The sequence below is a fragment of the Homo sapiens genome, chromosome 13 (assembly GCF_000001405.40).
Source record: "Homo sapiens chromosome 13, GRCh38.p14 Primary Assembly".
NCBI lineage: Eukaryota > Metazoa > Chordata > Mammalia > Primates > Hominidae > Homo > Homo sapiens.
This window is the reverse complement of record NC_000013.11, coordinates 108,809,644-108,836,882: the sequence shown is the minus strand read 5'-3', so window position 1 is coordinate 108,836,882 and position 27,239 is coordinate 108,809,644. Positions and strand designations below refer to the sequence as shown.

Here is a 27,239-nt window from a genome sequence, read left to right as displayed (position 1 = left end):
TATGAGCCTGTAAATTTGAAAGCAAGTTAGTTACTTCCTAGATACACTAGGGGTACAGGCATTGGGTAAATAACCCCATTCCAAATGGGAGAAATTTGCCAAAAGAAAGGGGTACAGGCCCCATGCAAGTCCAAAATACAACAGGGCAGTCATTAAACCTTAACGTTCCATAACGATTCTCTTTTGACTCCACGTCTCACATCCAGGTTACACTGATGCAAGAGGTGGGCTCCCATGGCCTTGGGTAGCTCTGTCCCTGTGGTTTTGCTGGGTATGGCCCTGCACCCGGCTGCTTTCATGGGCTGGCATTGAGGGTCTGCAGCTTTTCCAGGTGCATGGTGCAAGCTTTCAGTGGTTCTACCATTCTGGGGTCTGGAGGAACATGGCCCACTTCTCATAGCTCCATTAAGCAGTGCCCAAGTGGGGACTCTGTGTGGAGGCTCCAACCCCACATTTCCCTTCCACACTGCCCTAGCAGGGCTTCTCCAATGAGGGCTCTGCTCCTGCAGCAAACTTCTGCCTGGAAATTCAGATGTTTCCATACATCCTCTGAAGTCTAGGCTAAGTTTCCCAAATCCCAATTCTTGACTTCTGAGCACCCACAGGCCCAACACCACATGTATTCCACCAAGGCTTGGGGCTTGCACCCTCCGAAGCAAGGCCCAAGCTATACTTTGGCCCCTTTGAGCTGCAGCTGAGGCTGAAGTTGCTGGGGTGCAGGACATCAAGTCCCTCAGCAGCACACAGCAGTGAGGTCCTGGGCTCAGCTCACAAAACACAAAACCATTTTTGCCTCCCAGACTTCCTGGCCTGTGATGAGAGGGGCTGCTGTGAAGGTCTCTGACATGCCCTGGAGACATTTTCCCCATTGTCTTGGTGACTAGCACTTGGCTCCTTGTTACTTATGCAAATTTCTGCAGGAGGCTTGAATTTTTCCCCAAGAAATAGATTTTTCTTTTCTACTGCATCATCAGGCTGCAAATTTTCCAAACTTTTATGCTCTGTTTCCTTTTGAACGCTTTGCTGCTTAGAAATTTATTCTGCCAGATACCCTAAATCATCTCTCTCAAGTTCAAAGTTTCACAGTTCTTTAGGGCGTGGCAAAATGCTGCCAGTTTCTTTGCTAAAGCATAGCAAGTGTCACCTTTGTTCCAGTTCCCAACAAGTTCCTCATCTCCATCTGAGACCACCTCAGCCTGGACTTCATTGTCCATATCACTATCTGCATTTTGGTCAAAGCTATTCAACAAGTCTCTCAGAAGTTCCAAACTTTCCCTCATCTTCCTGTCTTCTTCTCAGCCCTTCAAACTGTTCCAGCCTCTGCCTGTTACCCGGTTACAAAGTTGCTTACACACTTTTGGGAATCTTTACAGCAGCACCCCACTCCCAGTACATATTTACTGTATTAGTCTGTTCTCATGCTGCTATAAGGACGTACCTGAGACTGGGTAATTTATAAAGGAAAGAGGTTTAATTGATTTGCAGTTCCACATGGCTGAAGAGGCCTCAGGAAAATTACAATAATTGCAGGAGGAATCTCTTCACAAGGTGACAGGAGAGAGAATGAGTGCCAGCAGGGGGAAATGCCAGATGCTTATAAAACCATCAGATCTTGTGAGAACTCGTTCACTATCAAGGGAACAGCATGGGGGAAACTGTCCTCATGATTCAATTACCTCCCACCAGGTCCCTCCCAGGGAATGCGGGGATTATGGGAACTATAATTCAAGATGAGATTTGGGTGGGGACACATCTAAACCATATTACTCTCTTATTCATATAAGAAAAAAAAAATTCTAAGTAATATACTTGTTTTGAAAGGCAGTATATTAATTAGTTATGCGTTATTTTCTACAAGAAAAGTGCAAATTGTACAGCTAGGCTGATGGCATACAATATTTTACATTTCCATAGAACAATTGTTTAGGTTTCTCTCTTTCTTTAACAATAAAACATTTTTATCTATAATCACTGTGATTAATAATAGCATTCAGAAAATTTAACTTCAATATATTTAAATTTTCATTTACTATGCATTTGTAGAATTTAAGGACACACATAGTAAAATGCTATTTGTTAAAAAAAAGAAATAATTTTAATCACTGGTATTTTCTTAATACACATTAAATGTTCATTGATTGGAAAAACATTTATCAGATTATGTTTTAAAATAGGATGTGAATATATATATATATTCACATATATATATGTGTGAGAGAGAGAGAGAGAGAGAGAGAGAGAGAGTACAAGACTGAATAAAACAGGAAACATAAAGGGCAAAAGGAAAAATTCCAAGTTAATAGCAGTTTCATCACAAAGGTGGGGTAGTGACCCAGAAGGCCTTAACCTTCTTCTCTCAGCTCAACTTTGGACTATCTCTAGTCCTCTGAACTCCCTTTTCTTGGAGCAATGTCTTTAGAAAACTGAACTGCAATTTTTTTCTCTGCCCCTTTGAGATGTATATCTTCTCCCAGCCTCTGGCCAGTTTTACAACCCAGGAATGTCTTTATGACCTGGGAGTCATCCCTTTGAAATCTAAACAGGGAAGAACATAGCCCACATATTTCCCAGTTTTTGTGGAGCACAGGAGCCTATAAAGGACAATTAGCAAATGCCCATGGCTTAATCACCTTGATGAAAGTCCCTCCTAAAGTGCTACGTACTTTCCCCCTAGCTCACCCCAGCACTTAGAAACTCTCCTACTTTTTGTTCAGTAGAATTGAGCTCAATCATTCTCCCTTGGTGCAATAGTTTTTAGTAAAGTCTTTCTTTCCTGTATAACTTCTCTGGTGCAGTTTTTCTTTGAAGCAAATGAGTCATTTTTTTCATGTTTCTATATGTTTTTCTGCACTTTCCAAATTTTATTCAACAAGAAATTGTTATTCTGATTATGAAAAATAAATTATTAGTAATAGAACTTTATTTGGTGAGAAAAAATGGAAATGAGAGAGTATATTTTCTATTGGTAAGACAGATCCCATAAACATTTTAAAAAAGAAAATCAGTACCATCCAAGGGTAGCTTAGATTAATACAGTAGAGACAGATTTAACTCTGACTGTGAAAAAAAATAGATGAGAATATACCAGCAGACAACCAATTTCTGAACTCTACTGGATTTATGCCAGACTTACTTATTTTGACAAACATCAAAGTAACTTCATGCAGAGAAAATGTGCCTGTAGGAAATAGGATTTTATTTCTGAAAATGGAAACAGGAATGTAATAAAATGAAACTAACAAAGGCAACAATTATCGCCCATTATAACTAAAGCAATCTTAGAAAACCATAGAGATGAAATAAAATGGAATCTATTGAGATACATGAGGACAACAACAACAAAAACTAACAGAAACAGATGTAAAGATATGGCATGTGTGACTTGGTTATTTTGGTGCTTAAAATAATTGACTGAATAGACAGTTCTCAACGTTACTCCTACAAACATAGCTACATCAATTTTTCACCGTAGAAAATTCAATTACATTTTTGTTTTTTTTCTGCTTCTATAAAATAAGATAAAGATCCAAATATTAATATTAAATGAAAGAGCTCTTGGAGAGATTTGAATTAATTGCTGTATGTTTGGTCCTTCCAAAAATTCATTTTTGTAAGTTTTTTTTTTTTACAATTTAAAGACCATTATGGTAAAATATTACCTGTGTCTAAAAAGCAAATAAAACTTTCAATGTGTCATTGGCTGAACTGGAGTTTGTATTGTTTTTGAGACATATTAATCTAACAGCTCTCAACAGATATATGCAAAAAAATTTTTAATAGCTTGTTTAAGGGAAAATCTGGAAATTAAGTATAATTTAGTAGTTTTATGTATATATGAAGGAAGATTCTGAAAGTTCCAAGTGTTAGCTTTGCTAGGAATGCTCCCTGAATGTATCATTCTGTCCCTGTATTCTATGACATTTCTCTTTGTGCACTACTGGACTTCAGAATACCTAAGTGAAAATAATTAAGGAACTTATTGACAGGTTTATCAATATTTTGTAAACACATTCTGTAGAATTTAACAATGTAGTTGTAATATTTGATTAAAAAGGCTTGATGTTTTATAGATTACTAAATAAAAAAATTACACATACATATCAAATGACTTATTTGATATAAAAGTCATTTGTAATCTAAAAGACTATATACAAATATGATTTATTATTGCTTAAATACTATGCATTAATATTCTTTAATATATTAATGTGAAGTGAAACTATACAAGAAATTTTATGCCACAGTTTTCTGATTCTGCGAAAGTAGAACTTAAGGTGCCAACTGGGACATTTTAATACTGAAAGAGGATTTTATTCATCATCATGCTGGGGAAACAAGCAGAAACCAGACTGGACCAAATGGGCACCTATGGCCACTCTAGTTATGAGAAATTTCTTCTGCTTGTGAAAAAGAGGTATTCAGGACATACAAATCCACATGGGGCTGGGCACGGTGGCTCACGCCTGTAATCCTAGCACTTTGGGAGGCTGAGGCGGGTGGATCACCTGAGGTCAGGAGTTCAAGACCAGCCTGGCCAACATGGTGAAACCCTGTTCTACTAAAAATACAAAAATTAGCTGGGCACGGTGGTGCACACCTATAATCCCAGCTACTCAAGAGGCTGAGGCAGGAGAATCTCTTGAGCCCAGGAGGCGGAGGTTGCAGTAAGCCAAGATTGTGCCATTGCCCTCCAGCCTGGGCGATAGAGCGAGACTCTGTCTCAAAAAAAAAAAAAAAATCCATACGGAACATTGAAATACACTGGAAAGTCAAAGTAGTATCATTTCCACAACTTCTAAATCTTTGGAGTCCTAAAACTTTGGCACAAGAAGCAAGATACCCCAAGAGCATGATACCCCAAAGTTACAGCAGCTGTAGCACCAGCCAATATTCCTTTAGGCTGCCCACCTCAGAAACTAAGAATAGTATCTTAAGGAAATGGACATTGATTTTTCTCACATAACAAGAAAAGCAGAAATAGGCAGCCCAGGGATGGTAACCTTCTCCAGATCTTCTGGGCCTTTGATTTGTTCTAGCTTCCTGCTCTGTTATTCTTAGAAAGTAACTTTCAGCTGGGCATGGTGGCTTACGCCTGTAATCTCAGCACTTTGGAATGCCAAAGCGGGTGGATGACCTGAGGTCAGGAGTTCGAGACCAGCCTGGCCAAGGTGGTAAAACCCTGTCTCTAGTAAAATTACAAAAATTAGCTGGGTGTGGTGGTGGATGCCTGTAATCCCAGCTACTTGGGAAGGTGAGGCCAGAGAATCGCTTGAACCCAGGAAGCAGAGGTTGCAGTGAGCTGAGATTGTGCCATGGCACTCCAGCCTGGGCAACAAGAGCGAAACTCTGTCTGGAAAAAAGAAAGTAACTTTCATTTTTTGGTTGCAAGATTACTTGGCATTACCAGATCACACACTTCTGTACCAAGAAGGAAGGCAATAGAAGGAAAGAAACAATGATGCTTACCAGAGAAATCTGTCCTTTTTAATTCCTTGAAGCCCTATCCTGTTAAAGGCTTGCTAGATTTAGCAAATAAAAAATCTTTGACAATTACAAATAATAAATGATTTTTTAAATTACAAATTCAAATTTAGCTGCATTTCTTGCATTTTACCTGGCAACTCTATGCCCGGTAGACTTCTGCATGTGTTTTAGTGGCCAGGACAGTGGCTGGTATGTTGTGTGGCCCCTACATTTATCTATTGAAACCCAATCCTCAAAGTGATAGCATTAAGAAGTAGGGGTTTTACGAGGTGACTAAGTCATGAGGGTGGAACTCTCAGGAGGATTAAAGCCTCTATAAAACTGCCCCGAGATCACTGTGTCCCTCTTCCACCATGTGAGGACACTGTGAAGGCACTGTTCATGAGAAATGGGTCCAGCTGAATTTGAATTTGTAATAAAAATATTATTACTAACAGAAACAGATGTAAAGATATGGCATATGTGATTTGGTTATTTTGGCACTTAAAATAATGGACTGAATAGACAGTTCTCAATGTTACCCCTAGAAACATAGCTACATAAATTGTTCACTGTAGAAAATACAATGAACTTTTTTTCCTGCTTTTATAAAATAAGATAAAGATCCAAAGATTAATATTAATATCTGACGTTTTATTATTATACTTTAAGTTTTAGGGTACCTGTGCACAATGGGCCGGTTAGTTACATATGTATACATGTGCCATGCTGGTGCGCTGCACCCACTAACTCGTCATCTAGCATTAGGTATATCTCCCAATACTATCCCTCCCCCCTCCCCCCACCCCACAACAGTCCCCAGACTGTGATGTTCCCCTTCCTGTGTCCATGTGTTCTCATTGTTCAATTCCCACCTATGAGTGAGAATATGCGGTGTTTGGTTTTCTGTTCTTGCGATAGTTTACTGAGAATGATGATTTCCAATTTCATCCATGTCCCTACAAAGGACATGAACTCATCCTTTTTTATGGCTGCACAGTATTCCATCGTGTATATGTGCCACATTTTGTTAATCCAGTCTATCATTGTTGGACATTTGGGTTGGTTCCAGGTCTTTGCTATTGTGAATAGTGCCACAATAAACATACGTGTGCATGTGTCTTTATAGCAGCATGATTTATAGTCCTTTGGGTATATACCCAGTAATGGGATGGCTGGGTCAAATGGTATTTCTAGTTCTAGATCCCTGAGGAATCGCCACACTGACTTCCACAATGGTTGAACTAGTTTACAGTCCCACCAGCAGTGTAAAAGTGTTCCTATTTCTCCACATCCTCTCCAGCATCTGTTGTTTCCTGACTTTTTAATGATTGCCATTCTAACTGGTGTGAGATGGTATCTCATTGTGGTTTTGATTTGCATTTCTCTGATGGCCAGTGATGGTGAGCATTTTTTCATGTGTTTTTTGGCTGCATAAATGTCTTCTTTTGAGAAGTGTCTGTTCATGTCCTTTGCCCACTTTTTGATGGGGTTGTTTGTTTTTTTCTTGTAAATTTGTTTGAGTTCATTGTAGATTCTGGATATTAGCCCTTTGTCAGATGAGTAGGTTGTGATTTTTCAGAGCTTTCCCAAATCTATTGTGAGTCTTATCCTTTTATTAAGGTCAAAAGGGGCACACTGCCTTATATATTATTTCATTCAAAAATCCCCATGGGGTATTTCTCCTCCCCAAGAGTCACTTGGCTGAGGCCACCCTGGGATCAACTCCAAGCAGTCCCTTTTCCTGTGGCCCTCAGCCCTGCTTAGGTCCCCTCCTCATAGTCTTTTCTCATCCCTAGGAAAGTGGCATTTCTTCTCTATCCCAGGTCACAGATGACTCAGAAACTCTGGCGACTCAGCCCCCACACAACCTCATCAGAGTATTCACCCAACCAAAGCTGGTTTTTTATGATATTAGATGTTCTTTCCAGCTGCTTAGAAAATAAGATTTTCTCCATATGGTTATAATCAGTTTAAAAGCACCCAGCGGAAGGCCTACCACTATTTTTGTCTCAGCCTACAGCTACAAAGCCATTCTTCTTTAGATGCTTTTGCTGCCAGTTCAAAGATAAGTGAAGAACATCTTTTTCTGGTCATTTCTTAAGCAATTATTTAGTACTTACAATGAGGCAGATATTGCTCTAAATGCTCTATAAATATTAACTCAGTTATGAAGAACAACCCTAAGATACAGTTATTATTACTATCATCATCAAACTCTGATGTCCTGCAGTACAATTATGCTAACCGCCAAGGGTTAGACCAGAGCCTACAGGTTAAGGGCACAGTCCTCATCAAGACTGCCCCCATTTTAGATTCCAGCCAAAAGTTTGGGGGTCCCCAGGCCACTTGAACTTTTGAGCAACGAGCTACAAATTCTGAGATTCTCACAAGCCCCTGAGGTTTGACAAACTACTAGAATGGCTTACAAAACTCACCAAAGTACTAATACAGCTTTATCATAAAGGATACAAATTAAGACAAGACTGGCAAACAAATACATATGAAAAAGTCTGAGAGGGTCCCAAATGCAGAGCTTCTGAGCCCCCTCCCCAAGGATGCAGGGTACATCAAACTCCAGCCCACTGATGTGCTCACCAATTCGGAGTCTCCACGGAGCTTCAATGTCCACAGTTTTTATTGGTGTCTCGTCACATAGGCATCAATGATGCCATCATTGGCCACATGTTTGAACTCCATCTCGAGCCTGTCCTGCTCCTCCTGGAGGTTGGGCTGGTTTTAATCACATGGTTGGTCTTTAATCACATTGTTGGTTTTTCTGGCATGACTAGGCCCCTACCCTGCGTCATCTCACCTGGTAGGATAAACTCAGATGCGATCCAAAGGGCTCATGAGTAACAAAGGCACTGTTATTCCATGGGAAATTCCAAGGATTTGGTTCCCACCCAGAAATCAAGGATAAAAATCAGCCAGATTCTTTACAAAACAACACCCACATTTTGTACTTCAGTAAAAATGTCACAAAGAGGTTGACTGAATTGCTCAAGGTCATAGAGCCAGTAAATGGCAGAGCCAGGATCTGAAACTGGATAGTGGCTCTGGAGTCTCTGCCCATAAGCACCACACCACCGGGCCTCACCAGGAACACTCAGAGAGGGAGTTCAGGCACTATCAATTTCCTTTTTAAAGCCAAATTGATAAGCTTTGGAATTACAAATAAAAATGACCTCCTCGCTGAAACAATAACAGAGTTAGCACACGCCTGGCATGAGTCATGTTCTTGAAGCTCCAAGCCTCAGCTAGGTGTGTATCAAATGGTTAAGTAACAGGACATGCGTCCAGGTGTTGTTCTGAGAGTTAAATGAAATAATCCAAACTAGTTTGCTCAAGATTCAACACCTGGTAACTGTAGTAAAAAATATCAGTTGTCAAAACTGTTGTTATTATTACAAATAATAAGTAAAAAAAACCCTTTCATCAATGAACTACTCCACTTAGGCAACATGTAGAATTTCTGTGGGCTTTATCTCACGGGCTCCATGAACTAGAATATTAGAGATGCAAGTTGGCACATATCCAAACTGCTCAGTGATGAAAAACCCTGGGTGAGCACGTCCATGCTCAGACGCTAAAGGGCATATTCAGCAGCAGCTGTTTCATTAGTGGCAATAACAGCAAGTGAGGCACTTAAATACATCTGAAGACAGAAAGGCAACACAGAGAGGAGGCGCCCAGTCAGAAGGAACTGAGGAGCAGAGTGAAGAGCAGTCAAGTATGGAAGGAAGACAAAGCAGGCTTACAGGGATCTGTCCTTACAGATACAGAATGTTACAGGTGGAAGGGCCTTTGAAATTAAAGCTGCACATTTTTAGACATGAGCTTGAAAGTCAGGCAACATGGGGAAAACTTAGGAATGCTGATTGGATAGGAGACACCTTAGAAAACGTGAAATATGGGATAATCAAATAGCATAGGCATTTCCAATTCATCAAATATTTAAAGACAGGCAGTGTTTACTGACAGCAGGCCATAGTGGAAGTGATGTCCTTAACCTTACTAAATCATGATTTACTGCACAAAATGCTCACTGAAACAATAAATATGAGTTTACTGTAAAGCAGAAATTTGGCTTGTATCCTGAGATAGCAGAAAAATGAACTATTCCATTCTTTCTTGCAATTGTAGCAAAATATATTCTGGGGGAAAAAAAAACAAATCACCTTTAGAATGCAAAGGAATAGGAAGCTGGGGTTAAGACTGACAAAGAAAAATGAGCAGCCATGATTCAGATGACGGAATACATGGTGAAGTCATGGACAGTTGTTCCCCCTTTTTTATTGTTCTTATATATAAAACTCCTATGAATATTTATGTACAGGTTTTTGTGTAGACATATATTTTCATTATCTGGGAGATAAACAATGCCCCTAGGAGAAGAATTTATGGGTCACGTGGTAAACCTACGTTCAACTGTTTGAGAACTGCCAGATTGTTTTTCATCACTGCCTCACCATTTGACATTCCCACTACCACCATACGAGAGTGGCAGTTCCTCCACATCCTTGCCAACACTGATTTACCTTTATTTTTTTGTTCTTTATTAATGGCCATTCTAGGAAGTATAAAGTGGTATCTCATGGTGGTTTCCATTTGGCTTTTCCTGATAAATAATGTAGAGTATTTTTGTGTGTGCTTGTGGGCTATGATTGTATCTTCTTTGAAGAAACATATATCCAAATGCATTGCCCATTTTTAAGGGAGTTATTTGTCTTTTTATTGTTCAGTTGTAAGCATCCCTTTACATTTTGTTAGATATAGCACTGAAGAAATTTTCTCCCATTGTGTGTCTTTTTTTTCACTTTCTTATTACTGTCTTTGAAACCACTAAAATCTTTAGTTTATCTATTTTTGCTTTTATTGCTTATCTTTCGGTGTCATATCTAAGAAACCATTGCCTCATCCAAAGTCAGAAAGATTTACATTTTTTAAAGAGAGTTTTATAGTTTTAGCTCTTACATTAGGTCAATGATCCATTTTGAGTTAATTTTTATGTATGACATAAAGTTCAGGTCCAACTCATTATTTTGCATGTGAATATCCAGTTGTCTCAGTACTGTTTATTGTAAAAGGCTATTCTTTCCCATAGAATCATCTTGGCATTCTTTGCAAAAATCAGTTAACCAGAAATGTAAGGGGTTCTTTTTGGATTCTCAGTTCTATTCTGTTGATATATTTCCATCCTATGCCAGTATCACAATGTCTTAGTTACTATAGATTTTAAGTAAGTTTTGAAATAGGGTTGTGTGAGTTCTCCAACTTTGTTCTTTTTTCACATAATTATTTTAGGGATTCTGGGTCCTTGAATTGTTATGTGATTTTAAATATTGGCCTATCAATTTTTGCAAAAAGTCATCTGGTATTTTTATAGAGATTGTGTTAACAATATTAAGTCTTCTAATCCATGAATTTAATATTTCTTTCCATATATTTAGGCTCTTTAATCTCTTTCAGTGATGTTTTGTAGTTTTCAGTGTAAAAACTTGCCGTTCTTTTCTTAAATTTTCTTGTATTTTGTTTTTCTTATGTTGTTGTAAATTATTTTTAATTTTTCCTTTTTTTTCTAACCTACTGGGTAAGCATGTTTTCAATCTCATTTTTGAATTATGAATTGCTGTGTATAGAAATACAGATTGTTTCTGTGCCTTGATCATGGGTATTGCCATCCTCTTGAACTATATTCTTAGTTCAAATAAGATATTTTTGTAAATTCCTTAGAATTTTCTATACACAAGATTATGTCATCTGAACATAGAGATAGTTTTACTTCTTCATTTCCAGTTTGGATACTATTCATTTATTTATTTATTTATTTATTTATTTTCTTGCTAGGTTGCTCAAGCTAAAACCGCAATACAATGTTGAACTGAGCTGGTGACAGCAGACACTCTTGCCTTTGTCCTCATCTTATGGGGTAACTGATCAGTCACCATTGAGTATGACGTTAGCCCTGTTTTGTTTTTGTTTTGTTTCTTTTTTTTATTTTTTGGTACTTGCCCCTTATCAGGTTGAGAAAATTTCCTGCCATTCTTAGTTTATTTACTTTTTTCTCATAAAAGGGTGTTGGGCTTTGTCAAATGCTTTTTCTGCATATATTGAGATAATCATGTGATTTTGTTCTTTATTCTATTAACATGATATACCATATTTTCTGATTTTTGAATGCTCAGCCTTGCTTTCTTGTCATAAATCTCACAAAGACATATTGTGAAGTCCTTTTTATATGTGGCTCAACCTGATTTGCTGGTGTTTTATTTAGGTGTCTTAAAGCTATATTCATAAGGTTGTTGTTTTCTTTTTATCTGATATTTTTATCTGATTTTTGTATCCGGGTAATTCTGACCTGATAGAATGAGTCAAAAACAATTCCCTGCTCTTCTGTTTTTGAAAGTGTTTGTGACAGATTGGCGTTAATTCTTTAAACATTTGGAAGAATTCAGCCTCGAAGCCATGTGGATATTAGCTTTTCTCTGTGAGAAGTTTTTGATGACTAATTCAATCTCTTTACTTGCTGTAGGTCTATTCCAATGTTCTCTTTCTTCTTGAGTTAGTTTTGTTTCTTGGTGTTTCCTTGGAATTCATCAATTTCATCTAGGTTATCTAATATTTTGGTATACAATTGTTCATAATATTTCCTTTTAATTATTTTTGTTTCTGTAAATCCAGGAGTAATGTTCCTCTTTCATTTCTGATTTTAGTAAAAGAATGTTCCATGTTCAATTGAAAAGAATATGTATTCCACTATTTCTGGATGAAGTGCTCTAAATATGTCTGTTAGATCTGGTTGTTTATAGTGCTATTTAAGTCTTCTATTCCCTTGTTGATATTTTGCCCACTTGTTCTATTTGTTTTTGAAAGTTGGGCATTAACATCTTTAACCATTCAAACTAAATATTAGCCATAAGGCAAAGCTCTTTCCAGCAACCACAACACTACCTCTGAAGAATATGAATATATAAATTCATAGAGATCTGTTTTAGAGGGGTTGTATTAGAATATCCAGATTTTCATATATTTGCTTTTTGTACATTTTCACCATGGGTATTTCTATGCTTTTCAATGAACTTGTATATCATGTTAAAACACTTCATAAAGTTTTCCATGTTTGTCTTACATCTTTTAATGCATATTTTAGCAGTAGCATTCTGGAGGTAACAAGCTTTCCAATGTTTAATAATTTATCTTTCAGTAATTTTACAGGTGCTATCAATTTTTTATAATATTGCTCTGGGTACACAATTTCTTTACCTGACTGCTGTTCATGAAGGCCTTTAAAATGATGTGACAGATTTTACAAGGTCCCACACGTTACATGCAATGTTATTTATTCATACAGATTTACTTATTGATTTAGATATTCACAGTCCATCTCTACCTGACAATGTTTGCTATCTGTTTTATTATACATTCCAAGCCCCACAGTCAGTAGATTCCGAACAAATATTTCAGATATTTGAAAATGAATGAATATGTAAGCATACCTAAGTTATATACATAACACCTGTGTTTGTATATCCATATGCTGGCAAAGAGAAACTCTGGAAAATAAGCATTATCTTATGAGTTAAATGAACACTTATTCTTCAGTAAATTTAACATGAATTTGAATGTAAGTTGTTATTTGTCATTCTTATTAATCACACTTTGTGTCCCTTTTTCAGACCTTGAAAATGATGTCAATCCATTTGATATTTTCAATGCAACAGGAAGTTATTTTTAGGAGATAACACACACAACAATAAATGATTAGTTTTATGCTTATGAGAGAAAGAAACATATATCAGTATTTTCTATTTCAGGAAAGTCAGCCATAATGATAATCACTGGAAACTTCACTATCAGTTTAGCTAAAATCTTGGAATGTGTTTAAAATATTATTTGGTCTCATGGCACATGAAATTGATTTAATAACTGATATAGTAAGATTGTTTTTAAATCAGAGGGTTTTTATAAAATAAAATTATGTTTAACTCATCACTGTAAACAAGTATTCTTTGGTATATACATTGATAAACCATTTTAATTGTTCTAACTCTTTGGCTGAGAGTCAGACTTAATATGGGCTCTAAAATGACCAGCAGGTAGAGAAGATGGCAAAAGAGAATAAGCAGGAAGACACTTACAGCTTACTCGACAGTACGGGAAGATCGTGAATGATCTCTTCATAGGGCTCTTCTTGAGCTAAGGTAGAAGCAGATAAAGGCTCTTTCATTTTTTCTTCCCAGGCAATTTCGGCTTTCAGCAGCATTTCCTCAATAAACTCAGAGGCAGCAATATCTACAAGAAAAAAATAAGAAAAATCAGAAAAATGATGGGTGGTGATAGCACATAAATCTATTTACTTTCAATAATTCCGATATGCTTAAAATGCTAAAAATTTATCAATGTATGAATCAAAACAAAAAACCTTAAAAGTTTACGGCTGGGATAAAATTGAAGTACTGTCATTTTAAAAGACTATTTTGTTTTACATCAGTGACACATTTAATTATAAATGAAATAGAAAATAGTATAGACTGGATGGTGATATGTAAAATAAAAAATCATTGAGAATCTAAGCTTGAGCAAACTTAATGTCATTTCATTTTCAGTAAAACTTGTCCTGCATCTTGGCGACTATGAACCAAAATTACAGAAAGAGTTACACTTTCCCATCAACTGGGTTATAAAGCATGTAACTGGCCTCCTATAAACATTCTACTAAATGGGTAGTTGTACAAGTAAATACTCAGTTGTATTATTTAAACAAGGGGTCTGCCCTCTAGCCATAATATTTTTACCTTTATCAATTGCAAATATAAATAAATATATTTCCTTACAAATTACACATAACAGTAACATCTGAACACGTTTGGGCAGCAACATAGTTATGTATCAATCAAGTTTATACTAACAACAATTACTGATATAGAAATTGATACAGATCATGAGGAAAAAATCAACATTCATATCAATTAAGAACCTACTGGAGGCAGCTGCTTCTTCTCAATCGTCAGGACCAGACTGTGTGACCACCTATGTCTATCAATTAGAGTTATGTGGCCTTCTGGGATGGTCACAGTAATGTAGCTGCCACAAGAAGATATTTATGTAAAGATTTTATCATTATTTGCCTCAGATTAAATTATATACATGTAAAAAGTAGGTGAGTGCTCAGCTTTCTTACTTTGGGAGATTAAATTTATGTCCCACTTAACAAATTGTTTTTCCCACAGATTTTTTTCATAAATCTATTCCAAATTCAAGAAACATAAAATAACAGCAATATACTATAGTACTGATGACGACTTTCATTTGCTCAGTTATAGCATGGGTTTCTGGTTTACTGTTCTCTGCTCTATTCTTGCATCTGGTTTTATCTAGTTTTATCTTCTTGCTGCCTAGATTATTGGCATATCTGCTTTAGTTGAAACCTTTCACTGCATTATAACTCTTTGCGTTTTGCATGTGATAAAAGTATTTTTATTCAAGTAGCAAATCTTTACTGAGGATCTATTATGGGCCCAGCACTGTGTCTCATATTGCCAACAGGCCATGAATAAGGTACTAGGTTGCTGGTCGACTTTGCATGACCAATGTGGTAAAAGTTGCCTGAGAGAGTCCTCATGCACTGTGCTGAGATGACCAGTGCTGAGTCTAGACCAGAAGTGCATTCATTGCCTCCGTTCCTAAGATTGTCAACTGCCATGCCTGGACATCTGTTTGAAATGACACTAGACCTAAATGGTGAGAGTATGCCATGGGAGTCCATGTAGTCAAAGGTCAGTCATATCCTCCCTTGTCTGGGAAATAAGCCAGGAATACGAACTTGAAAAGTGTGAGCTACTGTTAGAACCAGACTAGAGTTAGCCGAGGATGTGACTTGTACTCACAGTAAACACGTTTTTAAAAAGAAAATATCTAAAAATGTCTATTTGTTCTTTTGATATTTATCATTAGCATACTAATATAGTTAATGTTAAGATTACTAGACTATAAGTAATATTAGCTTGATTCTCAAGTTTGTGACTATTAAGCTGTGTAAAATTTCTGTTTGGTAAATATTCAGTTTAACAGAGAAGATGAAGTAATAAACATTAGACAATGATACTTAATTCCAATAAATAACAAATAGAGAAAAATCCCTTCTTCTGGCTTTAACTGGAGATTTATTAGAAATTCATACTCCTGAAAGTATATCAAATGACAAATCTCAAAAGTAAAGTACATTTAAGTCAGCAGAGGTATAGCAAGAGGAATAATGTATTTATAAAGTTATTCAGATCAATTACTGTCTTCAATATTTTGATGTTATGGTATTACCTATGCTAGATTTTTCTCTTTGTTATTCAGAACTCTTTTTACTATTGCAAAAATAATTATGAATAGTAACTTTCTGTTAAATTTTGAAAGCCACAAAATTAATGTAGCATCCATTTATTAAATAAGTATATGAATATACAAAAGGTCAGTGACTAAAATAATTTTAGAAATCTTCAAAAATATATTTATTAAAAAATAAGTAACATTAAGTCAAGATTTTCAAAGTTTTAAATTTGCATAAGAATGTCAGCCTCTGTATTTTTCTTGTAGTTTAAATATCTGCACAGATAATAACGCTATTATTTTTCAAAAATACCTTAACGGATAAGCATGTATTTGGTAGGATGAGATATTAGTTAAATAACAGTAAAAATGTATTTTAAAGTACGTTACACTGAATGAATCACTATCCTGAAAGTTTAAAACATGAAAGGCAAAATACAACAAAGTACAACAGTACAGTGTAGATTAAACTGTGAATAGCCTCTTGCAATGGAGGCTATTCACATCGCCTATATCATCGTACATAGGCGATGATGAATTGTGCTTGAACTGGGCTGGTTGTTACACAGCTTCACAGGCATGTCCAGCTCTCACTTTGTAGCTGTGCTGAAGATGGATGGCTACTCCAATATGAAAGGAAGAAAACAGTACCTGCTCAATGGTCCAAGGATGCTCCTAACCTACCTGACGCCTTCTCCTCATTACAGTTCACGAGGTGTGGGTTTGCCTGATGCATCAGGAGAAGTTTCACCAGATTTGTCTGAAATATTAAAGATAATTGAAATGGGAACCACCATGGCAGAAGCTAGGATACATCAGTAAGTCATACACTGTGCTGTCCAACTAACAGCCGGCATGAGACAGTATCAGCATTCCCACTCAGAAGTCCTTCCTGTCCCCTTTCCCAGTGCCTTTTCTAAAAATGTCAGATACTCAAATTATTTCAGCCCTTTCTGGATTCAGAACAAAAATTATTTATCCAATAAGGATTTAATCACTGAAGATTTGAAAAGGACACTTTATAACTTTCAGGTTTATATTATACGTATTTTTAGGATGAGAAACTAGTTACATAACAGTAAAAATGTATTTTAAAGTAAGTTACACTGAATGAATCACTACACTGAAACTTTAAAACGTGAAAGGCAAAATACAACAAAGTACAACAGGACAGTGTAGACTATATGCCATAATATAACCCGAAAGTACATAAGCTATACTCCTTATGTGAGGAATTATATGGTATAGTGTGTTTTGTTCTGTTTTAATTGAGCAATTCATCGAAGTCTAACTTGTTGGCATTGTTGCTCTATGACAGCAACATGGGCAGCAGGAACCTAAAGTCACATTGGACCATTAGAAAAATGCAGTCTCAAGTTCTAAGAGTTAAGTGACTTGATAAATTAACATATATTTTAAATTATTATAATATATCACACATATAAAGGGTATATATAATATACATGTGTTATTGAAAGGGCAATAATGAAATAAATTTCTGTATACTCCACTTTTAAAAATATGTACTCAACATTTTTTTTAATGACATCTTCATGTGTTTCTCCCCAAAACTATGTTTCTCTCTATTTCCCAGAGTTGGCCACTATCGTGACTTTTCGGCTAACCATTAATATCTTCTCTATATGCTTAGCACACACATATGAAAGTATCCCTAAGCAACATATTGCTTAACCTGTTTGTGACATTCATAGAAATGAAATCCTATCGTATAGATTCTTGCGGGCCTTGTTTTCATGGCTTACCGCGAAATTTTTGAGTCATCAGACTTGATGGGTTTAACCAAGGCTCATTCTTTTGGCTGCATGGAATAGTATTGTACAAATATATCACAATTGATCCACCTTTCTCCCAGTGAGTATTCAAGCCATTTGCAGTCATTTATTTGTTTTTACAAATAATGTTCCCATAAGTATTCTCATTTATATCTCTTGGTGCACACATACAATACTTTCTTCAGGATATATGTACTTAGAAATGAAATTGCTGGGATATCAGTTTGGACAGCATCAAAGTGACTAGATAGTGCTAATATATTTTTTTCCAAGAGATTGCTCAGATTTACACTCCTACTCCTAACAAGGCTTTCTGCTGCTCTACGTTCTACTTAATAGCTTTATTACCAGGCATTTACTTGTTGTTAAATTCTTGGGTGTAAAAGAATAGAGCATTGTGGTTTATGGCACATTGCTTTGAAAATGGAGCAGGCTTCTCCTGGATTTCTTTTTGGTATGATTTTATATTATGCTTTTTAAAGTTATTACTTTCTAGGGATTTGCCAGTTTTGCCTAAGTTTCCAAATGTGCTGGCATGATGTTGTTGGTTATATCTTCTTATTGTGCTTTTCCTTTTATTCTCTTTTTAATAGCTGTGCTGTTTGTGTAGTTATGTTTCCATTTGCATGCACACTATCAGTCATTTTATGCATGCCCTATCCATCTTTCTGACCAATATTTCCAAAACTTGGTTCATCTCATTAATGCTTACAAGAACCAATTTGAGGTATTGTTGATTTTTTCTATGGTATTTTTGCTTAACAGTTCAATCACTTTGACTTTTATCTGTTTTATATTCTCATTTATGCATTCTGTGTTTGTTTTATTAATCTCTCTCTTTTTTATTTTTATTTATTATTGTGTTTGTTTTATTAATCTCTCTCTTTTTTATTTTTATTTATTATTATTATTTTTTTTTTGAGACGTTGTTTCACTTTCTCACCCAGGCTGGAGTGCAGTGGCGCCATCTTGGCTCACCGCAACCGCCTTCTCCCAGGTTCAAGCGATTCTCATGTCTCAGCCTCCAGAGTAGCTGGGATTGCCGGCATGCACCACCGCACCTAGATAATTTTTATATTTTTAATAGAGTTGGGGTTTTGTCATGTTGGCCAGGATGGTCTTGAACTCCTAACCTCAAGTGATCAGCCCGACTTGGTCTCCCAAATTGCTGAGATTACACGCGTGAGCCACCGAGCCTGGCCTGTTTTACTAACGTCTTAAAAACTTTGTAAGTTGTAACATTATTTTTCAAACTTGTCTTTTACAATATAGACATTTAAGGTTGCTATGCAACCTTAAAGGCTGTAAATTTTCATCAAGTGAAAATTACCACCACTTTCTTTATGTCTCAAATAGGGACAGAGAAAAAGCAATTTTTTATTATGATTCTGTTCCAGATATTTTAAAATGGTCATTGTATGTCTTTTTGATTTATAGAGAATAGTAAGTCCTGAAATAATGTGTGTTTCTGTAATACAAAGTAGCTCATACTCAATTGATAAACGTTGGTGGTACTATTTTTTCCTAGGCAAGAGGAGTCAAAACAACGGAAGTCAAATCATAAAATTAAAAGACCTCAACTGTGTTGTGCTGGACACTGAAGCCGTCTTAGCTGTATTTCTACGAATATTCTTTTTTTAAACAATGAAGTAATTTAAAGGCAATAAAATGGACACTAATAAGCGCACAGTTATAAAATTTGGGCAAATGTGTGTACCTGTGTAATCAGCACCACAAATAAGATATAGAACATTTCTCATCACCAACAGTTCCCCCCGTCCCACTGTGGTCAGTGTTCATCCCATACAAGAAAACACAGTGTGATTTATAGCACCCCAGATTAGTTTTGTCTATTCTTAAACTTCAGATAAATAAAACACAGAAATGTATATGTTTGCCCAATATAATATTCTTGAGATTCGTCCATGCTTGTGCATGCATTGACACTTTCTCTCTTCATTGTTGAGTTGTAGTCCACTGTACAACTACATTACAATATGTTCATCATTTTCTTCTTGAGAGTTGAGCCATTTGTTTCTGGCTCTTTGAATAAGGCTACTATAGACATATGTCATTTCAGTCAATGTAGTTTTTCATTTTTCTCTTTTGAACATTCTAAAATAGAATTCTGGGTAATCTGGTAAGTGTATACTTAACTTTATAAGAAATTGCCAGAAAAGTTTACCAAGTGGTTTTACTATTTTTTTTTTATCCTCACTGGCAATTTTGCCACATGCTCTCCAACACTTGATATTGTCATAGTAAAACAATTTTAGCCACTGAAGTACTATCTCACCGTAGGTTAATTTACATTTCCCTGATGACTAGTGACATTGAACACTTTCATGTGCTTAATGACCATCTTTTGTGAATTGTCTACTCAATAATTTCTTGTCCATTTATTACTGCATTGTTTAACTTTTTACTATTAGTCTATCTGCATTTTTATATGATCTGGATGAATTTTTCGGATATATGTATTGTAGTGGGAAATCAGCGACTGGAGAGACCAAGTGGTGTTCAGGAGGGCATATTTTAGGTGTACACTGGCTCAGCGGACAGGCATCCTGAAAGTCTGAGCAGCAAACAAAGAAAACAAACACCTTTTATGCACCTTGAGGCGGGAATTACATGATGCAGGAAGCTGGCTTACAAAAGCGAGAACAAAGTAGTTAATTATCAGGTGACATTCTTAGGACTCAGCTGACATATTGGGAAACTTATCTTGCAACTCATGCTTATGGATCGTGTGACCTTGCGGTTGCACAGCAAGAAAAACAGCTTACAGAACTTACAAAATATGTGGGGGAGAGATATGGTTAATGCTGCACAGACCTTACAGAGAAGCAGTTAATATTTTTTCTTAACTCTTACTTGGGGTGGGTGGGGGGCGCTACTTCATGCCCATTCTAGCGTAAACTTAAACGGTAAACTTAATTTCTTTTAATTTTTCAAGTTTAGTATTACATATATTTCATCCCATTCTGTGGCTTGCCTCGTCATATTCTAAAAAAATGTCTTTTGATGAGCAGAAAGACACTTTTATTTATTTTCTTTTAAGTACAATATCTGTACCTATTTTTATCTACTCAAAGTTCATCATAATATTATACTATAGTTTCTTCTGAAAGCTTTATAATTTTAACTTTTATATTTGTGGTACATTTCAAGTGAGTTTTTGTGAATGCCATGTAAAGGCCCGGACGGTCCAGCACCATTTGTTTTTCAGCAACATTTTTGGAGAAGACCATTTTTTCTTATTGAATTGCCTTGAGACTTTCATAGGAAATCAACTGGCTTGTTATGTTCATTTGTAGCCACTATATTTTAGGTTCCATTGATCTACTGGTGTACCCTTGCTGTATTACCTAACAACTTTATGTGTATAGATTTATAGCAAGTTTTGAAATCTTACAAGTGGAAGACTTATAGTAAGTCTTGAAAATAGTCTGTGTCTTATTCCTTCAAGAACATTTTGTCTATTATAGGTACTTTGCATTCCATAATTTTTAGGATGAATTTTCCAATTTCTATAAAAAATACTGCCAGGCTTTAGGTTGGGATTGTTTTAAATAGGTAGCTACTATATTAGTTTGACATGCTTTAACAAATCACCACAAGGTTCGTGGCTTAAACAATAAAAATGTATTGCCTTACAATTCTGTAGGTCAGAAGTCTGACACAGGTATCACTGGGCTGACACCAGGGCTCTGGTTACATGTTCCTTTCTGGCTATAAGGGAGAATTTGTTTCTGGCTTCTCCAGTTTTGAGGTCACCCACATTCCTTGGTTAATGGTCCCTCCCCTTCCACCATCTTCAAAGCAGCAATATTGCATGTCTCTGACCATTTTTCCACAGTCACACTCCCTCTGTCTCTCAGCCAAGAACAAGGCTCTGCTTCTAAGGTCCCATGTGATTACACTGGGCCCATCTAGAGAATCCAGGAAAATCTTTCCAGCTGATGATCCTTAGCTTAGTTACAATGCAAAGTTCTTTATTTAGCCTTGTAATATATTGACAGGTTCTGCGGATTAGGACATGGACATCGTTGGGGGCACTATTCTGCCTTCCCAGATACCTTAACAATATTCAGTGTCTCAATGACAACTGCATATCAATGAGTGTGGCTTACCTCTCTATTTGCATAAGTTTTCAATTGTCACTGCAACATTTTGTAGTGTGAAGTGTACAAATATTGCACATTATTTGTTAAACATATTACTATCTATGTTATGCTTGTAACACTACTGTAAAAAAATTGATAAATTCACTTAACAGTTCTAATTTTTAAAGTTTTTTGGAGATTCTTTGCTATTTTCATTATCCTTTCTCCTTTCCTAACCTTGCCTTTCATTTTCATTTCTTGCATTATTTTACTTGTTAGAATGACAATGGTTTCTTCAATCTGCGGTGGGGTTTGTTTGTTTGCGTTTGTAACATTTTCTGTGGCATTTTTCATTCATGCTGAGCATTTTGCCCAGGCATTCCAAGAGATCTCCTTAAATAATTATGGCTCTTGCCAGTGTTCTCACTATAAAAATAATTAGGTTTTCAATAGTATGCCCTATTGCTAGATTCCCTACAGGCCCATTCAAAATTAGTGTTTGGTTTTGCAGAACACAAATTATTTCAATAGTACTTATTCATGTTATAGCAGGGTGCTTATACTTAGAAGTTATTTTGACTTCCAAATATATCATTTGCTAAAGAAAGAGAAGCTATCTTTAAATCTGAAAGATAAAATATATATTGTAGGTTCCCAGGACATTAAAATAGTTGCAAAAATGAGTATTGCTTTATATTAAAGATTCGAGGCATTTTCTTGCTTTTATATCATATGTCAGAAATGAAGGAAGGAAGGAAAGAAGAAAATGAAAGAACAAAAAAATAAAATATGGAGTAAGGTAGGGAAAAATTAAGGCAGGAGGAAGGAAGGGAAAGAGAAATTCAGAAAGAAAAGAAAAACAATGAAAGTCAAAAATTAGTTAAGATTGCCTTTGTTTTCCACAAATTTGAAAGAATGGCAATAATGCTAAAGCTTTTATATCTTTGCAAAAAGGTTAGAGTATCAGAGAGTCTAATAATTATGTTGCATTACTAAATTCAATTTGCTGTTTATAGAACTCCAAATAAAATCATGTGCAATCTCCCAACAAACTACTGTTCTCTACAGCTTCAACTGCGGAAAGCATTTAAATCATAAAAGTAAATGTTTCCCACAAGAAAATCTTTAACACTAAAAGTAATTCCATTTTATTTCAGGCCTGTAAAAATAAACATTCATGTGTGAAATAAGGAAGTTTCTCCTACTAGGGGAATTCCTTTCTTTTCGTAAAGTCAATATTTCCTATGTGCTTCCAATTAGAAATCACTGAGGCACTTCACAAAACTGAATTAAGCAGGCCAGGGCTAATTCCAATTACTCTACTCTGGAACATCTGTTTTAACCTCACAAAACATCTTTAGGTAAATTACTTAAAATGTGAGCAGGTAGAGTGTGCTGTTCAACTGCAACTCATCTTTGCTATTAAAAGAATTTCATAATCAGCAAAGTTATCAGAGGTTAAGGTGACTAATATTCAGAGAGAAAGAGAGAGAGTGTGTATGTGTTGTGTGTCTGTATAAAAGGAAACACTAAGTGGCTAACAAAGAAAGTGTATTTAAGCTGAAATTTGAATTAATATTAGTTACTGGATATAGACTTTACTTATTCTTCAAATAGTTGTATTTCAGTGTGGCTAAATTTATCAAGATTAATTTCTTGAGAGTGAAAGTATCTCTTTAAAAAGTTAAAATATAGCAGTGAGTATTTGGAGCCAGCACTCATTCCTTCCTAGTTCAGAAGCTAAAAATGATTGATTTAATTTAATAAAGAGGAAAATATAATGTTAAAGTCTCTCAGAAACTCAGTACTTGCATACCCCACTTGAATTACATATACCTAAGCTCAATGGTGCATACTCTACATTGCAATGAGTAAATGTCTCTAACTCTGAGAACCATGTGAACTATTTCAGATCTAATACTTTAGAAAGTCTAATACATTACTACTTTTAATGATTCAACTATGATTTCTTATTAACCAAACAGTTCTGCCCTCATACCACAAAATAAATACTTTCTAATCACTGCAGTTTTCCATGTAATTGTCCTTGTATTTCTTTTCTGAAACACTCCTCTTTTATTTCCATTCGCAAATCTCATAATCCTCCTCTGCCCGTGTCCAACCCCTCCTCAGTCTCCTTTTATGGAACTTTCCTTTTATACAGTTGTCATAGTTGTATTTGTGTAGCTATAATGGAATATCTGAGACTGGGTAATTTATAATGAACAGAAATTTATTGCTCACAGTTCTGGAGGTTAGGAAGTCTAAGATCAAAGCACCAGCAGGCCTTAGTCTCTCTTCTTTCAAGATGCCCCATTAAATGTTGCACCCTCCAGAGGGAAAGATCATTATATCCTCACATGGTGGAAAAGCAGGAGAGAGAAACACTCCTGCAATTTCTTTTTATAGTCGTATTAATCCTTTCATGAGGGTGAAACCCTCATGACCTAAACACCCCTCATTAGGCCTCACGTCCTAATTTTGCTGCACTGGGGATTAATTTTGAAACACACAAATTTTGGGGAGACACATAGCAACCATTAAATACGGTGTTGCTCACAAGATATTGCCTTTGGTTGAAATCCCTTTCATTTGTGCATGATTTCTTTTAGTAATACATCCCAAATGCAAATTATTTCCAGTGCTACCAAAGCCCTTGCATGTGCCTGGGTTTCTCATGGAAATCTCCAGGATGATTTCCTGCAAGAACCAGTCTCAAGGGGCGTGCGCACTCACCTACTGCTCACACATTTATTCAGTGATCATTAGGGCATTTATTGATTCTCTCATTAAATAAATAGTAACTTAGCCAGTATTCTGTGTTGGCTCCTGTCTGAGATATGATGATATTTTGACAAGCCAAACAAATGTTCCTGCATTCACTTCTTACAGACTAAAAGGTGATACAGATGAATGAACTGACAACTACCGCAAGTTGTGGTAAGGCTGTGTTTATGATACGGGATATGCAGGGTGCTTGTACAGGGACAGGAGAGGAACCATCATATGCAAATTCCGAGCATTAGGAAAGACGGCCAGTGAAGTGACATCTCAATGTAGCCGTGCAAGGTAAAATTTAACAATTTCAGGAAGAGCAAAGAATAGGCTATATGTGGTGGTGCATTCTAGAAATGAAGATACATTCAGTATAGCTTTAACCTCACATATGGTGGGGTGAGGCTGGAGAAATAAAACACGAGACCTAAGCAGGGCCTCTGACACATGGGGACTTATAAATGGTGCTAAGGAATAAGTATTTTATTTCAACAGCAATGGAAAGGATACTGTGTTGACACAGTATGACTATGTCTGCATGTAGAATGATTACTGTAGCCTCGTCATTGACAGAAGAGTGGGGGAGGGGGATAAAAACCTGTTAGAGGCTGATGGGTTAACCCAGATGTAGAGATGCTAGTGTCCTGGATGAGGGGAGAGGCAGTGAGGAGGCACAGATTGACTGGTGGTGATTATAGCTTAAGTATCTCGACACAGTCCACTGGGTAGGAGTTTGTAGGCTCAGTGTTCTGTTAGGCATGAGAGAGGAGAGAGAAGTAGGAAAATGGCAAAGGATTAGTTTTGTGGTGAACAAATGACAAAACAGAAGAGCAACAGATGGGGATGGGAAAGAGAAGATGATGGTTTTTTTTTTTTTAAACAGGTGGTGTTAGAGGACAGAAAAAAAGAGACAGCCCCTGGGTATACACAGATGCAGAATTTGGGAGAGGAACAGAGAGGAGGCTTGGGTAGCCATGAGCATGTAGACAGCATTTGAAGCTGAGGGTGTGAGAATATTTCTCAAAGACATGGCAAACATCAAAAAGGAGCCTAGGATGGCACATGAAGCTTGTTAATACTCCCTGGTCAGAGGGGTAGGGGCATAACCAGACTGTTTTCCCCAAAGCAAAGAAGAAATAAATCACAAAAAAATTAAAGTTCTGAATATAGCTTAATTTTTATACACTTGGGTAAAAATGTATTTGAGAATAAAAATGGGTTTTTAAACATTAAGATGTATGAGTTATGTCATACAAAATACTTTGGGAAACAAAAATACTTAGATTCCAGCATTTGTACAAATATTTTTTTATCTTTGGGTGTAGTATTGCCAATTCTGTTGTAAATACTAAATATAGTAAATACATACAAGACTAGAATGAAATTTTACTTCACGTACAACTCACGAAAGAGTTGTAAAACCAAAAGACTTATTGCTCACATAATTTATTCAGTTCCTAGTTTTTGAAAGAACAAGCATCTCTTTTGTTTTCCATTGCAAAAGTTAATATATTTATAAAAGGCAGTTTTAAAATATGTACATCATCCCACTATAAATGTAAATAATAAGTACAGTTATAGATTGTGAGCTACCTCCTTCTCCATAAAGGTATTTACATTTATAAGGTCTTTATAAGAGTGAAATTACTGTGAATGTCTCTAAAAATGCCATTAGTCTCTCTAAAATGTTCACATTTCTAACGCTTTTTCCCCTAAACACAGATACAATATATTTACAGCAAATTTCTTCAGAGAGAGTTATAAATCTTCCATGCATATAAATTGATATTCAAATAAACCTGTTTCTAAAATATAATTTCCGAAGTGCATACTAAATGACATCTTTTTGAGAGAACAATTTTTTAGAATAATTCTAGATGTCATATACTATTTTTCTTGGTGAAATAATTGAGATGCAATTTACTGAAAATCTTCTATTATCATAAATCTCCAGTTGTTTTTTCAGTCTGAGTAAAAGAAGAGTATCTTGGTTTTGATGCCTTATATTCTGAAACAAAAGCCTCATCTACACTCAATATTTCCAGTTTTGCACCTGATTCTGTGTTGGTTGCCTTTGTCTTTCGGTCACTGTGCTGGACAATGGGCTAGCACAGTGGAGAACTCAAAGTCTGTCATTCTGAAGCGTGCATTCCAGTGGAGACACTACTTGAGTAGGCTTAATGGAACAAAGTAGTAAAGACATACGATCTTCAGACACTTTCCTCAGTACTAAAATGTATCAGAAGTTAGAAAATTAAAGGCAAGTCTAGCGAAGCAGAGGATAAAAATAATGTGTTTTAAAAACCTGCCTCATCTGCACATTGTAAATGGCCATTTCTGGAAACCTTTGAGTAAGATATCTGTCTGTACCAATCAAGCAACCATCAATGGATCAGGACACGTGCTGACTGATGATCCATACACACACGAGGCATTCATCTTCATGATTCGCAAAAATCTGCTGAACTAAGTAAAAGTCTCCCCTTTCTATAGATGTTTATGGTTCTCAATAATTGGTGGCCCCAAGGTTGGGCTCTGTGGAAAAAGAACAATCAAGGCTTGTTGAGTCCACAGTCAGTGAGTGGTGGGGCTGGTACCCAGCGCTGGCCCTTTCTATTCCAGTGAGAAGGCCATGGAGGCCTCACAACAAAGCTGGCATAATGCCTGATATAGTTTGGATGTTTGTCTGCACCAAATCTCATGTTGAATTGCAAGCCCCAGTGTTGGAAGCGTGGCCTGGTTGGGGGTGATTGGGTCATGGGGCAGATGTCTCATGGTT

At 36.3% G+C, this 27,239-nt stretch overlaps 1 protein-coding gene across 5 annotated transcripts in view, besides 1 other annotated feature; it reads right to left on the bottom strand.

Moving 5' to 3' along the window:
• MYO16 (myosin XVI) overlaps positions 1 to 27,239 on the bottom strand; it is a 712,290-nt gene that overhangs the window by 371,123 nt on the left and 313,928 nt on the right. For all 5 annotated transcript variants that reach the window (XM_011521062.2, XM_047430183.1, NM_015011.3 and 2 more), the window contains exons 8-9: positions 16,471 to 16,546; positions 13,605 to 13,758 (exon numbers count right to left, since the gene is read on the bottom strand). In XM_011521062.2, the coding sequence (XP_011519364.1) occupies positions 13,605 to 13,758; positions 16,471 to 16,546 (230 nt within the window). The remainder of the gene's footprint in view (positions 1 to 13,604; positions 13,759 to 16,470; positions 16,547 to 27,239) is intronic.
• Positions 1,359 to 1,890: an enhancer, noted in NCBI's record as "OCT4-NANOG hESC enhancer chr13:109487341-109487872 (GRCh37/hg19 assembly coordinates)". NCBI's record gives its function as "activates a minimal SCP1, AML or CMV promoter by ChIP-STARR-seq in primed H9 embryonic stem cells {active_cell/tissue: H9 hESC(primed)}" and the evidence as "EXISTENCE:reporter gene assay evidence [ECO:0000049][PMID:30033119]".